Source organism: Homo sapiens, chromosome 2, assembly GCF_000001405.40.
Source record: "Homo sapiens chromosome 2, GRCh38.p14 Primary Assembly".
Lineage (NCBI taxonomy): Eukaryota > Metazoa > Chordata > Mammalia > Primates > Hominidae > Homo > Homo sapiens.
The window spans coordinates 15,919,763-15,936,137 of record NC_000002.12 but is presented as its reverse complement, the minus strand read 5'-3'; the positions used below and the strand labels follow the sequence as shown (position 1 = coordinate 15,936,137).

Here is a 16,375-nt window from a genome sequence, read left to right as displayed (position 1 = left end):
AAAAGTTGACAACAGTAATAGAAAATACTTGCCATATATATGAGTCAAAGATTAGATCCCAGGTATACAAAGAGCTCCCACAAATTGAATAGAAAAAAACGGGCAGACAGAAATATGACTCTAGGATACGAGCAGGTAATTTACTGAATAAGAAATGCAAATTGTCAATAAACATATGAAAAGATGCTCAACTTCACCGGTAGTCAGGGGAATGCAAATTAAATCTCAGTGAGATTAACATTTTTGGGTCTAGCAGATTGGCCCAAAGTACTGGCCAGCCTGGGGAGTGGGAGCAGGGGCCTCACATACACTGTTGGTGTGCCTGCCCCAAGAGGAAAAGCAATTCCACTCTTCATGATCCATCCTACGAGAAATAATAAGACAAACACATAAAAGCATATAAACAAGAATGTGTGTGGCTGCATCATTCTCAATAACAAAAATACTATAAGCAATCTAAATATCCATAACTAAAACAAATTAAACAGGAGAATGGTATGTAATACATCCATGCAGTGGAATTACATACACCCACTAAAAATAATGTGTTAGGTCTATAGTTACAGACGGGAAATGTTCCTGAACATGAAGGAAAATAAGCAAGGTATAGGTCAATCTGTCTGGCATTTTGGATATATATGTACTTAGATATATCTGCATCAACCCCCCAGTAACAAATTGAGAAGAATGTGCACCAAGTTGCTAACAGGGGTTTACTTTGAAGAAGACAATCAGTCAGGTGGAGGGAGAAACTTTCTTCTTGATATAACTTTTATTTATTTATTTTATTTTTTTTGAGACAGTTTCGCTCTGTCATCCAGGCTGGAGTGCAGTGGCGTGATCCCGGCTCACTGCAACCTCTGCCTCCCGGGTTCAAGTGATTCTTGTGCCTCAGCCTCCCCAGTAGCTGAGATTATAGGCACCCGCCACTATGCCTAATTAATTTTTTTTTTTTTTTTTGAGATGGGGTCTCGCCTTATTGCCCGGGCTGGAGTGCAATGGCACAGTCTCGGCTCACTGCAGCCTCCACCTCCCTGGTTCAAGTGATTCTCCTGCCTCAGCCTCCCTGGTAGCTGGAATTACAGGCACATGCCACCACACCAGGCTAACTTTTGTATTTTTAGTAGAGACAGGGTTTCACCGTGTTGGCCAGGCTGGTTTCGAGCCCCTGACCTCAAGTGATCCACCCACCTCAGCCTCCCAAAGTGCTAGGATTACAGGCGTGAGCCACTGTGCCTGGCCTATAACTTTTTTTTTTTTTTAAAGCAATGGGGTTATGAACAAATTTAATTTCTTTGTTTTTGTTATTTTTCAAAAATAATTTTGTTACTTTTCAGTAAAGTTAATCATTTCAAGTGATGTAAGGGACCCTTTTGTGAAGCCTAAAGTCACCCCCAAATTTCTCCTTTGTTTCCCAGGCCAGTTGGCATTTTTCCCACCAAACTGCTATTGAACTGAGTCAGCTGAGAGTGGGTTCAAAGAGACCAAGATGGACCAAAACGGGCACTGCTTTAATTAAGATTAGAATCATGCCCATCAAAGCCATTCAACGTATATGATGTTGGATGTGCCCAAGGCAAAATGCATAGTTTTTTGACATCTGAGGCTGGAGGAGAGTTTGAGATCCACCACTGAGAGAGTTTTGGAGGTGGGAAGTTTTATTTGTAATAGCATAATTAGGTTTAAAACAAAAATTATCTTCATTTAATGCCAGTAATTTGATTACTGATTTAGAAAATCGAAGTGTCCAGCAGACCCTGGACTGCCCTCAGAGACTAGTTTTGCATCCTTGGAGGCAGCTCAAAGACCCCTTCCACTGTGAAGACTTCCCTCCAGCTTCATGCATTACGTAGACTTGAGAGAGGGCTAAGATGGAGTGAGTCAAAATGCACTGCAAACCATGAAGAGCTACGGGGAATGGACGGTGATACTGCTGCTGTGGAGTTGGAATTCTCATTTCCCTTAGTTTCCTTATGCTAAAAGTCAAAATGGGAAAGATGTCCCTGGAGGCAGCTGCTCAGGGCCAGGCTCCACAGGTATGGGGTTTGGGGAGAAATAGGTTTCCCCTTGTGGGCCTCAAACTTGAATTTGTCAGTGCACTGGAATGGCTCACAATTAGGGGATCCTCATCTTAGTAGGAATCTGTAAGGGCTACAAGGAATTCTGATGCCAGATCTGGCCTTTGAGTCCATTTGGCGCTGCCCCTTGAAACAGGCAGGCTCTCTACGAAGGACAGGGGTCTCCTTTTTCTGGGATTACTTTCCAGACACAATGACGTGCTTTGGATGTGTCCAGATCACCTCGCGCTGTGCTGAAGTTTTCAGATCTTCTCCTCAGGTGATTACTTAGTAGATGGCTGATCTCACCCACTGATTCTTGCTAATTTCATTTTCCTATAATGCTGGATACATTCCTGTAGCCCCATGGACGGCCCGAGCTACCTCAATATCTGAGTGGAATTGCTAGAATCTGCCTGCTGGCCCTTTCAGTTTCCTTGGACTCAGATAACAATCACTGATAAATATCAGTGATTCTATCTGCTCATTTCCAGAAGCTGCTACTTCTGGCCTAGAAAGGCTTTTCCTTTCATTTCTGCTTATTCAAATTCTTTCCTCAAAGTTCAGCTGGAGACTGTCCTGGAAGGAATCTCGTCCTCCCTTCCCCTAACCCTACCCATTCTCTGCCCCAAATCTCCATTAATCTTATACTGCTTGCCGCCAACAAGGGGGTTCTTTTTTAATTTTTATTATTATTTTTAACTCTTGTCTCCCAGGCTGCAGTGCAGTGGTGCAGTCTCTGCTCACTGCAACCTCCTCCTCCCAGGTTCAAGCGATTCTCGTGCCTCAGCCTCCTGAGTAGCTGGGATTACAGGTGTGTGCCACCACGCCCGGCTAATTTTTGTATTTTTAGCTTTCTCCATGTTGGACAGGCTTGTCTCGAACTCCTGACCTCAGGCGACCTCACGCCTCGGCCTCTCAAAGAGCTGGGATTACAGGCGTGAGCCACCGTGCCCGGCCATGGGGGTTCTTTATCAGATTCCTGTGTGTGTGTGCGACTCCCCTAACAGGATGAGCAGTTCCTGAGTGCAGCACCCTTTCCCATGTTGCCTTTCCATCTTCTACAGCATCTGGTGCAGCGAATGCTGGAAAGAACAGCTCTGACACCAGACATGACAGCGAGTTCTGCTATGTTGGATAGTCCAACTTTTCTGAGGCTTTATTTCTCCATCTTTCTTTCTTTCTTTCTTTTTTTTCTTTTTTTTGAGAGAATCTCACTCTGTTGCCCAGGCTGGAGTGCAGTGGCACCATCTCGGCTCACTGCAACCCCCGCCTACCGGGTTCAAGCGATTCTTGTGCCTTAGCATCGTAAGTAGCTGGGATTACAGGCTCGAGCCACCGTGCCCAGCTAATTTTTTTTTTTGTATTTTTAGTAGAAAAGGGGCTTCACCATGTTGGCTTGGCTGGTCTCAAACTCCTGGCCTCAAGTGATCCATCCGCCTCGGCCTCCCAAAGTGCTGAGATGACAGGCATGAGCCACCACACCCGGCCATTTTTTCATCTTTCTTTTAGTATCATGTGAGGATTACACAAAGTAGCCATCTGGCTTATAATGGATGTCCAGTAAACGTTCCCTCCCTTCCTTCTAGTCCCAGCCCTCCTGCAGGGGCTCCATGTACCCCGCAGCAATAGACCATAGCATGTGTGTCCTGGGGGAGCCTGCAGAAAATGTCTCTTTGTTTTAATGGGACTGTTGAATCATTCTTTCTTCAACTGGAAATCTCTCTGGGCCACACCCCTTTACTCTTCATGGCTTGTCCGTAATCAAGTAACTTTAGGCTTGAAAGAAGGTACTGCAGAGTCAAGGTAGTATAAGGTAGTCCTAGTAAGAACACAGGGTCACCCGGGGAGAGGACTGGAGTTCTTCAAGCTTAGAATTGTGTCTTACTTCTTGAGGAATTTTAGATCGGTCCATTAACTTCTCCTGGTTCATAATATCGGAATAATGAGCCCTATCCCTGCTTTTATTCCATAAGGGAAAGATATCTGTAGGGCAGTGGGCTTAGATTCAGAAATGAAGTTTGATAACCTGGTTCTATTATTTCTATATGATCTTGGGCATGTCCATTTCCAACAGCCTCAGTTTTCTTACCTACGAATAGGGATAATAATATTCTTACTGCCACAGAGAAGATAGGAAATCTACAATCAAAGTGGGGCCATGTATGTTACCTTGCTGTATATTATAAGCTCTAAGAAATTGTAGAGGAAAAAGGCTTTATTCTGTGGGGCAGGAGCTTGAAAAATGGTAAAACCTCTACACATGAACAGTGTGGGATCATGTATGGAGTTCCTAAAACAAGGCTGTTTGGGATGGACACGTTTGAATCCTCTTACAATGCTTATAATGGTCATATTTCCTGGTAAGTGGCATCAAATCCAAAAACCTGTCAAAGGGACAGATGGCATTCTTAGCACAAAAGAGGAAACCAATTAGAAGTTAAAATACAGAAAAATGTGAACTTGTAAATGCTAACAAATTGTTTCAATGTGGAGGACTGTGTTGTTTTCCCTGACACTGGCCAAGGAAGGTCTCTTTCTGGTCCAGCTATGTTCACAGGGCACTGACTATTGGAGTCTGAAAGAAACCTTATGGACTCTCTCTCCTAACTGTCTTGATTTCAAGCTTGCATACCTAGCTCGAGTTGTTGGGCAGATGCTGCTGATTGCACCATGTCACTTTTACAGTGACAGACTGTGTCTTTGCAGCTCAGAAATGAGCTCTGAACAGTAGGCTTTAGGAAGCAATTTCTAAATACAAGCATTCATTTAGTCCATCAACAAACACTTGTATATGACTATATATAACTATAACTTCTGCTTGCAAGGCACTTATAAGCCACACAGAAAAATCCAATGAAACTTATTGTGTGCTACAATTAAGGATGGCCCAGAGGAAAGAGACTCCACCCCTCCCTGGGGGAGTGGAACATGGTTTCACAGACTGGGAGGGACATTTGAGCTACAGGATGAGAAACAGTTTGCCCGGGACACAAGGGCGGATAGGATTGTATTAGTCAGGATGGGTGAGAGTATGCTGTAGTAACAAACAACCCTCAAATCACAGCGGCTTAATGCAACAAAGCCTTAGTTTTTGCTCTTGTTACACGTTACAGCCTTCTTGTTAAAAGAGCAGCCCCTCGTGAAAGAGGGAAAACAGCCAGAAGGAACAAACCAAATCAAGCATGCAGCTGTTACACTCTATGCTAAAACCCCCCAATGGATCAAGGTGGCCCCAGTTGGATAGAATGGTTTGTTTGGAGGGAAAAGACCAAGAGCATGGGGTAAGAAAGCTTCATAAACTGGAGGTGCTGAAAGTAAGTCTAGAGAAAAAAGCAGGGTCTTATTTTTGTTATTTGTTAAATAACCTTTTAAATACTAAGTCTTAATAGTGCAAATTTAATGGATTTTTATTATAATTATGATTTAGAGCAAACTGTTGAAGATATTCCTTTTTTTTTTTTTTTTTTTGAGATGGAGTCTTTCTCTGTCACCCAGGCTGGAGTGCAGTGGCACAATCTTGGCTCACGGCAACCTCCATCTCCCCTGTTCAAGTGATTCTTGTGCCTCAGCCTCCTGAGTAGCTGGGATTACAGGCATGCACCACCACACCCAGCTAATTTTTTTTTTTTTTTTGTATTTTTAGTAAATATGGCATTTCACTAGGCTGGCCAGGCTAGTCTCACACTCCTGACCTTAAATGATCCTCTGGTCTGGGCCTCCCAAAGTGCTGGGATTACAGGTGTGAGCCACTGCTCCCAGCCTGTTGAAGATATTCTAATTAATCCTAAATTAGTCCTGCAAGTTGTTTCATGAAAAAAGTTTTCTATATTAAAATACACATAGGTTTAAATAAAAAACGAGAGAGAGAAGTCTTGAAGAGAATGGTGTCTGTAGCTACAGCTGATCGGAATGAAGTCGTTCAAGGATAGAAGCTTAGACTTCACTTCGAAATGCTTCCTCTGAACTGGCTGCCATGGAGTCACCTGTGCCCCCAAGCACAATCTCCTCAAAGGCAATGGCAGCCATTACTAGGCCTTTTTATTTTTCATGATGCATAGTTGTACCTGTCACAAAGGAGGTGCTCAAAAAATATTTTGTGGAATGAATGGACAGATTTCTCTCTGTTCTCCCAAAACAAGGCTTATGTCTCTATGTACATAAGGAGAATGTCAGGGCTGGGTGCCGTGGCTCATGCCTGTAATCCCAGCACTTTGGGAGGCTGAGACAAGTGGATCACTTGAGGTCAGGAGTTCGAGACCAGCCTAACAAACGTGGTGAAACCCCATCTCTACTAAAAATACAAAAACTAGTGGGGCTTGGTGGTGGGTGCCTGTAATCTCAGCTACTATTTTATATATATATATATATATATATATATATATAAAGAGAATGTCAGGACCAGCAATCCATAGAAAACTGAGACAGCAGACTTGTAGTTTTCAAACTTGCTTGCAGCTACAAAACTTTTTATTTAAAAAATGCTAACTAAATATCTTTTACACTAAGGTCAATTTTTTATTTTTTTAAAATTTTTTTGAGACGGAGTCTTGTTCTGTTGCCCAGGCTATAGTGCAAGTGGCACCATCTCAGCTCACTGCAACCTCCGCCTCCTAGGTTCAAGCGATTCTTCTGCCTCAGCCTCCCGAGTAGCTGGGATTACAAGCACCTGCCACCATGCCCGGCTAATTTTGTATTTTTAGTAGAGATGGGATTTCACCATGTTGGCCAGGCTGATCTTGAACTCCTAACCTCAAGTGATCCATCTGCCTCGGCCTCCCAAAGTGCTGGGATTACAGATGTGAGCCACTGCGCCCAGCCTCTCTGGGGATCTTGAAGGGTTTCAAAACCAGACTGAAAGCCACACATTCAGATCAATCAGATCACACAAACAATAAAACCCCAGCACTTTCTCATGAAACCAGGAGAAAGTTCTGGCTTTTGTCTCTTCCACCTGTGGAAATCAGCAGTTATCTCTATTTTCCTTTGGGGATTGGAGTGTTTGGTTTCTCCATGAAGGAATGAAATGTTCACAAGAGCAAGAATATGCAGCTCTCCTGAGAAGAGGGCTGGAAGAAGCCACCAGCTCCAGTATCCTCAAAAGAGCACCTCTGCAGCTCCAGGGTCCGGGGTTCCTCCAGAAGCACAGATGAACTAAGCGGGGCTCCTAGGGCCTCGGGAAGGTGAGATCCCTGGCATGAGTCACCTTTTCTGCAGAATCTGCTTCAGATGCCTCCATCTGAGACTCATTTCTCACCATCCATGCTAGTAGAGGGGCTGGGGAGAATGGAGAGGATGTCCTGTTGGTCAGCGTCTCCCTTCTGGCTGACTGAAGACTCCTGACCCACTATAGTACCAGACAAGGGTGACAGTACCCTCTCTGTGAGGGCCCCAGAGAGAGGCTGACGTGGGCTGTCAGTTCCTCTCAGCGTTGCTAATCTGAGTCAAAGATAGCCAGACCCCCAGGATCGGTCCCCACCCTCCGCCAGATGCTGTCCAGGGGAGCAAGTTGTGTCTGTCCCTCCTGAGCAGGTCCCCTGACTTCCCCTAGGATGATGGCTAGGCCACTTGATTTGCTTTCTAAACATCATTGTCCTGTGCCAGCCACTCCCAAAGCTGCATAGAAAGATGAGATTTCTTGGCCAGGCGCAGTGGCTCACGCCTGTAATCCCAGCACTTTGGAGGCCAAGGTGGGCAGATCACCTGAGGTCGGGAGTTCAAGACCAGCCTGACCAACATGGGGAAACATCATCTCTACTAAAAATACAGAATTAGCCAGGCATGGTAGCACATGCCTGTAATCCCAGCTACTCAGGAGACTGAGGCAGGAGAATCGTTTGAACTAAGGAGGTGGAGGTTGCAGTGAGCCGAGATTGCGCCATTGCACTCCAGCCTGGGCAACAAGAGTGAAACTTCATTTCAAAAAAAAAAGAAAAAGAAAGATGAGATTTCTTGCCCTTTTCCTCATTTCATTCTATTTCATTATAACACGAGATCAGCCTTAGGTAATTCCAGACTGTCTGCCCACCTCTGAAACCATGAGGATGGATGAAAGAGATTTTCATTCTGTGAACTCCAGCACGAGTGAGTTCCCAGACTCCCTCTTCTGTACTCATGGAGCCCCCAACTGCCTCAATTCCAAGCCAAGGAAGAGCTCCTGTAGCCCATACCACTCTTCAGGGCAGTGACATGCCCCAGCTGGGACAGAAGTCATGGTTGCCAGCCCAATGCGGGTCCCACTTTCCCGCATTCACTGATTTCTAACACAGTGCCGGCTACATTACAGGGAGTCACAAAACACTGTGGACTATTTAGCCCTTAAGCCAGATGCCACAGAGCAGCATTCCTCTGAAATTGCAGAAGGAATCTCAGCTCTACTCGAGGCAGGAGGTCAGATGCCAAGGGCTCGCTTTGCTCCTTTTTATGGCTTACCCACTGGCCTAGAGCCTTAAAGAATCAAATTCCACCTTCCTCTACCTGACTCCCAACTCCTGTCCTTGCAGCGGCGTGTCAGCTTCTGTGAATCTCAGTTTCCTCCTCTTTAAAATGGGAATCGTGGGCACCTCTCTCCTTGCAGGACTGCAGCCATTGCCAAAAGCAAGGTAAGCGACAGAGCACCACGTCATTGTAGAGGTGGTTGTCAATACCACAAAAATGATTCCTGCTCATTCAGAATCCTCTAATTGTCTTATCCGGATTATCTCCCCACCTGCTGTCTGACCTCTGCCCTATTTTCGAGATGAAATAAACCTGGATTTTTCCGTTGTCATCCAAACTTTAGAATTGTGGACTTAGGGCAAACCTTACATTTCACTGACATTACTTCTTTTAAAACCCTTTTTTAAAAATTATTTATTTATTATTTATTTTTGAGACAGGGTCTCGCTGTGTCTCCCAGGCTGGAGTGCACTGGTGTGATCATAGCTCACTGAAGCCTCGACCTTCCCGGCTTAAGCGATCATTTCACCTCAGCCTCATAAGTAGCTGGGAGTATTGGCGTGTGTCACTGCACCCAGCTATTTTTTTTTTTTTTTTTTTTTGTAGAGACAGGGTCTTGCTATGTTGCCTAGGCTGGTCTCAGACTCCTGACCTCAAAGGATCTTCTAGCCTTGGCCTTCCAAAGTGCTGGGATTACAGGTATGAGCCACTGCACTTGGCCAAAAGCCCTCTTTTAAAAACCCATCTTAGTGATACCTGGCGGTGGCTAGGTGCAGTGGCTCATGCCTGTAATCCCAGCACTTTGAGAGGCCAAGATGGGCGTATCACCTGAGGTCAGGAGTTCGAGACCAGCCTGGCCAACATGGTGAAACCTCATCTCTACTAAAAATACAAAAATTAGCCAGGCATGGTGGTGCGTGCCTGTAATCCCAGCTACTCAGGAGGCAGGAGGATCGCTTGAACCTGGGAGGCAGAGGTTGCAGTGAGCAAAGATCACGCCACTGTGCTCCAGCCTGGGCGACAAGAGTGAGACTCTGCCTGAAAAAAAAATAATAATAATAATATTAATGCCTGGCTGTGAAGAGGACGGAGCTGGAGCTCATGTCTATCATATAGTGTCAGATGCAAAAGAAGTGGCAGAACAATGTGTATGGCATGAGTTCATTTTTGAAGGGAATACGTCTTAACGTGCTTGTATAAGCATATGTGGAAGGTTGTACACCAAACTGTTTAGCAAAATTATTGGGGAATGGGACTGAGGATCGAAATGGAGAGATGGTGAAGAAATTTTCATTTGTTTTTCTATTGATGGTTTGAGTTTTTAAAATAACAATTGGGTGTCGTTACATTTTAATTTCACATTTTTAAACACTGACAGACACTTTAAACATATGGCCTTGAAATATTTTTTACTAGATTGTATATCTCTGTTCTTACTATTTAACTTTCTAAATAAATTAAATGAACATTCTCTCTTGTGTTTAAAATTAGGATCTACAAACCTGATCTTTCCATTTATTGAGTGCCTGCTATATCCCAGGCTGAATATAGATGTTTTTGCACTTAATACTCACTCCAGCCTTGCAAGGTTAATTATTTTCATACCCACTTTACATCTGAGGAAACTGGGGCCCAAGGTCACACGGTTAATAAGTGGCACAGCTGGAATTCTAACACAGCACAACCTGACTCCAAAGTGCACATTTGTTTATGAAGGTTCCCTGATGCCGTCTTTAAGACTGCATTTAACCTCGTGCACATAATTAATTTTTTTTTATCAATACACACTCATGCATACAATTTGATTTTAAAATAAAATCTTTAATATTGTATAGTAATCCTCTTGGTGGTCCTGGGGGGTGCTCATCCACCCGAATGAGCAAAGCTTAGCTAAGACCTTAAGGTGTGCTGTCTTTTAAACAAATTATATCCAAGTGCAGCCACAAAAATTAACCAATCTATTCAGAAATCTTTTTAGAACAAATGTTTCTTTTTTTTTTTTTTTTTTGAGATGGAGTCTCACCCTGTCACCCAGGCTGGAGTGCAGTGGCATGATCTCAACTCACTGCAACCTCTGCCTCCTGGGTTCAAATGATTCTCCTGCTTCAGCCTCCTGAGTAGCTTGGATTACAGGTGCCCATCACCACACCCAGCTAATTTTTTTTAATTTTTAGTAGAGATGGGGTTTCACCATCTTAACCAGGCTGGTCTTGAACTCCTGACCTCATGATCCACCCGCTTCGGCCTCCCAAAGTGCTGGGATTACAGGCGTGAGCCACTGCACCTGTCCTTAGAACAAAGATTCCTAAAATACTCTAAGTTTGTAGACTTATAACACCACCGTGTGAAATGAAGTCCTCTACATATCTCCCAAGAGCTTCACCCTAATATAATCACCGGGGAGGAGAGTATGATATCTCGTGAGCCTTTTGTTTTTCTCTCTTCAAGGAGTCAGTTCTTGGAGGAATCTTCCTATGGGAAATGGAATTTTGCTGTTGCTCCAGAAAGTGAAATTTACAGCTGACAAGAGGAAACGACAGGGAACTCTATTCCAGTATGACATAAGAAAGAATTTGGTAGCAATTAGAACAAGCCAATAATGGAGGGGGCTGTCTTGTTAGGTACTGAGATCTCTGTCACTCACAGGATTGAAAAGAGACTAGTGAAGCATCTGACTTGCTATAGAAGGGATTTCTGTCTTAGATAGGAAGTTGGACTAAGTTATTTTAAATTCTGTTTCTTAACTATTTTTGTTTTGTTTTATTTTGTTTTGTTGAGATGGAGTCTTGCTCTGTTACCAAGGCTGGAGTGCAGCGGTGTGGTCTTGGCTCACTGTAGCCTCCACCTCCTGGGTTCAAGTGATTCTCCTGCCTCAACCTCCCAAGTAGCTGAACTACAGGTGCACGCCACCACGCTCTGCTAATTTTTGCATTTTTAGTAGAGACGGGGTTTCACCATGTTGGCCAGGCTGGTCTCAAACTCCCGAACTTAGGTGATCTGCCTGCCTCAACCTCCCAAAGTGCTGGGATTACAGGTGTGAGCCAACGCATCTGGCTCAACTGTATGTTTTGCATTTTTCTTTCTTTTTTTGAGACAGAGGCTTGTACCATTGCCCAAGCTGGAGTGCAGTGGTACAATTTAGGCTCACTGCAGCCTCCACCTCCCAGGTTCAGGTGATTCTCCTGCCTCAGTCTCCCATATAGCTGGGATTACAGGCACATGCCACTACATCCGGCTAATGTTTGTATTTTTAGTAGAGATGGGGTTTCACCATGTTGGACAGGCTGGTATCGAACTCCTGACCTCAGGTGATCTGCTTGCCTCATCCTCCCAAAGTGCTGGGATTACAGGCATGAGCCACCGTGCCCGGCCTTTATTTCTTATTGATAGACTAGCATGTGGTCTTAAGGAAGATCATCCCTGAGCTAATAAAAGCTATGATCCAAATTAACCCCACAGTTGTGGTATGGGTTATGAAACGGGTTCGTTTTTGAAAGTCTGGATTTTAAAGACCGTCAATCAATTGTTTAGTCCTAATTAATTTTTCCTGAGAACATCTGACATATTAACATAAGTACCAATTAAAATTGAATGTTAGTGTAATCACCATCTCAAATATTTGAACAATGTGATTATATAATATGTACCAACAAGGTTAAAAAAATACACTTAGAGAAGTAGATGTGAAGGAAAAGTAAGTATTGCTTCAGGGTTTGGAAAATGCAGTTTCTTATTCATCTGCCTCCCAGATTTCAAGATTCAAGACAAACTCTTGCCAGCCCCTCCTGCTGACTTCTGACAGCCCAGCACACCTAGGGAACTCTGAGCTGAGATATGCCCTCCAGGTGTCTGTGTCGATCATAATCAGACAAAGGATGTTCTGTGCTTTTCCTTAAAGTCAGTCTGCGTGAGGTCCTCCCAGTCACCTCCCAAGCTGGGCTGATGTGTTCACGTTAGGGGTTTCTCATTCAGCTCTGGGGTGTCAGCAACACCACATCAAGACAGACTAATTGAGAGCCTACTATGTGCCGACTGATACCTCACACATCTCTGTTTACATCCCCATCTTATTTCCTAGAAAGTCTGCACCCTTCTATTCAACAGGGGCATAGCTTTCTGGAAATCCCAGAGATACACCACATCCAATGTGTCCCAAACAGAACTCATTATCTCTCCCCTGAAGACTACTCCTGCCAATGAATTGTCTCTTTCACTGGTACCCAGATCAGAAACCTGGCCTTTGGGCTGGCTGCCTTCTTTTTCTTCATCTTGCATTTTTGCAGTGGCCATATTTTGTTATTTCTACTTCCATCCAAGCCTTATAGAAGGTGTCAGAGCCGGACGTGGTGGCTCACACCTGTAATCCCAGCACTTCGGGAGGCTGAGGTGGGTGGATCACCTGAGGTCAGGAGTTTGAGACCAGCCTGTCCAACATGGTGAAACTCCGTCTCTACTAAAAATACAAAAATTAGCCGGGCATGGTGGCACATGCCTATAATCCCAGCTACTCCGGAGGCTGAGGCAGGACAATTGCTTGAACCCAGGAGGCAGAGATTGCAGTGAACTCAGAACGCACCATTACACTCCAGCCTGGGCAACAGAGTGAGACTCCATCTCAAAAAAAAAAAAAAAGAAAAAAAAGAAGGTGTCAGGATGTCTACACCCATTTTTCAAATACTAAGAACCTGCCACACAGTCAATGGAGAGTCACTGCTCCAATCTCCTGACATGCCTCTTTGCCCACCACTTCAGCCCCTGCCTCCAAGATCCAGCCCTTCCCAAGATCCAGCAATCAAATGGCTAATGTCTGGCACAAGAGGGGGCTTCCAGGAACTTGCTGCAACAAAAGGTCAGTTTTGTTTGGCTGGGGCCTGGCAGTCCCTTTCCTTACTAGGTGACCACTGTGCTCTGGGCCAGCTTCCTCATTGGACACAGTAGCACAGTGTCTAGGCCTACTGTACTTTTTTTTTTTTTTTTAAAGACGGGGTCTCACTCTGTCACCCAGGCTGGATTGTAGCAGCGTCATCTCAGCAACCTCTGCATCCCAGGTTCAAGCGATTCTCATGCCTCAGCCTCCTGAGTAGCTGGGATTATAGGCATGTGCCACTAAACCTGGCTAATTTTTGTATTTTTCAGTAGAGACGGGGTTTCACCATGTTGGCCAGGCTGGTCTCAAACTCCTGGCCTCAAGTGATCCGCCTGCCTAGGCCTCCCAAAGTGCTGGGATTACAGGCATGAGCCACTGCGCCCAGCCAACTATTAATCTTTTCTTAAAGGATGGGGTTCACAAGGGCAAAAGTGCGTCAGACCCAATGAAATCCCAGTGCATCCTGCTCTCAACTCCAAGCACCGCGCTCCTCCTTCTCGATGACCTCCTCCGTCCACTTCCTTCCTCTTTTGCTCACTTTTCTTTTTCCATCCACATTTGTTGATCACCTACTGTGTGTGCCAGTTCTGAGGATTCAGAAACAAGGAGGCCCCACTCGCTGCCCCCTGGATGCTTCCAGCCCAGAAGGCACGAAGATGAAGACATGCCCAACTGCAGTACCCTGTGGTCAATGCTACATAGGAGCCCAGGAGTGCCAGAGAGAGAGAGAGAGAGGCCTGCTCCAGCCATGCAGGGTGAGAGAGGCCTCCCCAAAGACATGATTTATGAACCCCAGGAGACAAGCACCCCAGTGCCCCTGCAGAACTCCCCTCACCCAGGATGGGAAGGCACAGCCCTGGGGATGCTTTGGGGTTTGACATTCTCTTCTCAGCCCTGTCGATGTCCACACAGCTGAACCCAGCACTGTCTGAGATGGGTCCCCTTTTCCGATTTTAGAGGGCTAGTGAGGATTCACTCTTCATGGTATCAACCCGGGCTGTGAGAGTGTCTGGGTCCCTCGAGAGGACCAGCACTACTCACCTCAGAGGAGGCGGCCCCTGGCAGTGGAAGGACCTACCTCCGGGGGAAGCAGGTGGAGGGGGTGCAGGCGACCACAGAACTCAGCCAGAGGCAGCTGTGTGTGCTTTGGTGCTCAAGCCTTCAGGGGTCCAAGGCTGCTGGGGTGGCCACCACGCTGGTGCTTAGACCTTAGCAGGAGGGAAGGCAGGGGTGAGGACACTTGACCAGATACGATGCTGGCTTGCTACCCCAGCAGCTCCCTGTTCTGCATCCCAAGGCAGCCTCCTTTATCTGTCTCCTCTTCTCCCCTCCACCCCACCCACACCATTGGCCCCAAAGGCTGGTCCTGCCCCAAGCATTTCCTATGTGTTCACACCTCTGAGCCTCTCCTTCTCCAGCCGTGATGTGTGACTTGGCCCTTGAAGCCCTCAAAGTTCTTCAGTGAAAGCCAAGTGTATTCCTCCAGCTGGAATTACCTGTGACTTTCTCTGTAGTCCCAAAATGTGCACAAAACTTATAAAGGTGTGTGGTGGCCCTTAGATATTTTGGTATAATTTAATTGCATGCATGTGTCTTGCTGCCTGGGTCAATTTCTTTGAGATCAGTGACTACATGTGACCTTTGCCTTCCCAGAGACCAGCACAGACCCATCAGTGAAGCCTGTTCTCAACAAACGCTTGTAAATGACTCACTCCTACTGGGGTCTAGAGGACGATGGATCCCAGATCAAGTTGCTTGTTGCCTCATTTGTCAAGTTCTGCCTGTACATCGGCTGTTCTTCCTTACGATAAATCTGAAGATCAGAAACACGGCGGAACAACAAGCACGCAGGACAAGTCCATCCTGCCCATAACACCCTAGAGCAGGCTCAAAGCAGGAAAACAGCATGAGTCACATTCAGCAACAGACACACGGGGAACCCTGCTCTCCCCTCTACCCTGAGGAGAAACAACAACACCTTCCCTGCCTGGGGAAACTCCTACTCATGCTATCCGTCTCAGACAGCAGCTCCTCTGCGAAGCCATCTTCCACTCTCTCAGAAAGAGTCCATTGTTTCTTCCTCTGCGTTCTCTCTTGCCTCTATTAAGGTGTTCAGCAGACAGTATTGAAACGATCTCCTTGCCTATTTGGTATTTTCCAGTATGGCAGACACATATGGGAATCAGTTCTGGGAGCACAGTGGTTTAAAAGGATGCAGACCACCAAACATCAGAAGAAGAGAAGTCAGGGTAGGGAAGGACCAGGAAACCTGTGCCCCATGAGCGGACTGAGGGTTGAGTTGGTCCCGGACGTTGCTGTGTCTCGGTGTGATTACCAATAGCACCCAAGTTCATTCTCAAAAGTGTCCTGGTTTAGTCCATCACATATATAATCACCCTCCATTTGAGAAATATGTAAAGAAGCCACAGGGATTTGACCCACGGGAGCCTTGGGGAGTCCATCACTGTCTTTAGTCATTCAGGGTGCAGCCGCATGCGCTGCGTGGCCTCAGGGGACCTGTGGGAGAGGATGATGTAACGAAAGCCTTTCCCCTAGTCTCTGTTTTGTTTACTGTTGGGCACCCAGGACTTGGCACCATTCCTGGAATATATTAATCTCTTGATAAATATTTGTGGGAGAGAGGAAGGAAGAGAGGGAGGAGGGGGGAAGAGGGTACAATCTGGCAAAGAGCTGGTTGCATTGCAGGCCTTGTCCCCTCAGTGGGGGCACCTGCCAGAGGCTGAAGGACCCCTTGCTGGGGATGGCACAGATGGTGTATGGGCTGAATTGCACCCCCCTCCCCCGAAAAGGATATGTCCAAGTCCTGACTCCCAGTGCTTCAGAATGTGACTGTACTGGAAATCTGGCTGTTGCAGGTGTTAGTTGAGATGAGGTCATACTGGAGTAGGATAGGCTCCTAATCCAATATGACAGGTGTCCTTACAAAAAGACTGTCATGTGCAGACAGAGGCCTACAGGGAGAAGTCCACGTCTAGACAGGCAGAGGCTGGCA

The 16,375-nt window shown here is 45.8% G+C and overlaps 1 long non-coding RNA gene across 1 annotated transcript; it reads right to left on the bottom strand.

The window, feature by feature from the left end:
• On the bottom strand, positions 120-15,739 carry MYCNUT (MYCN upstream transcript). Its single transcript, NR_125783.1, has 3 exons — positions 15,075-15,739; positions 14,441-14,570; positions 120-364 (listed from the first exon to the last, which is right to left on the bottom strand). It is a non-coding gene; the product is annotated as an MYCN upstream transcript (long non-coding RNA).
• Between the last annotated feature and the right edge of the window lie 636 nt (positions 15,740-16,375).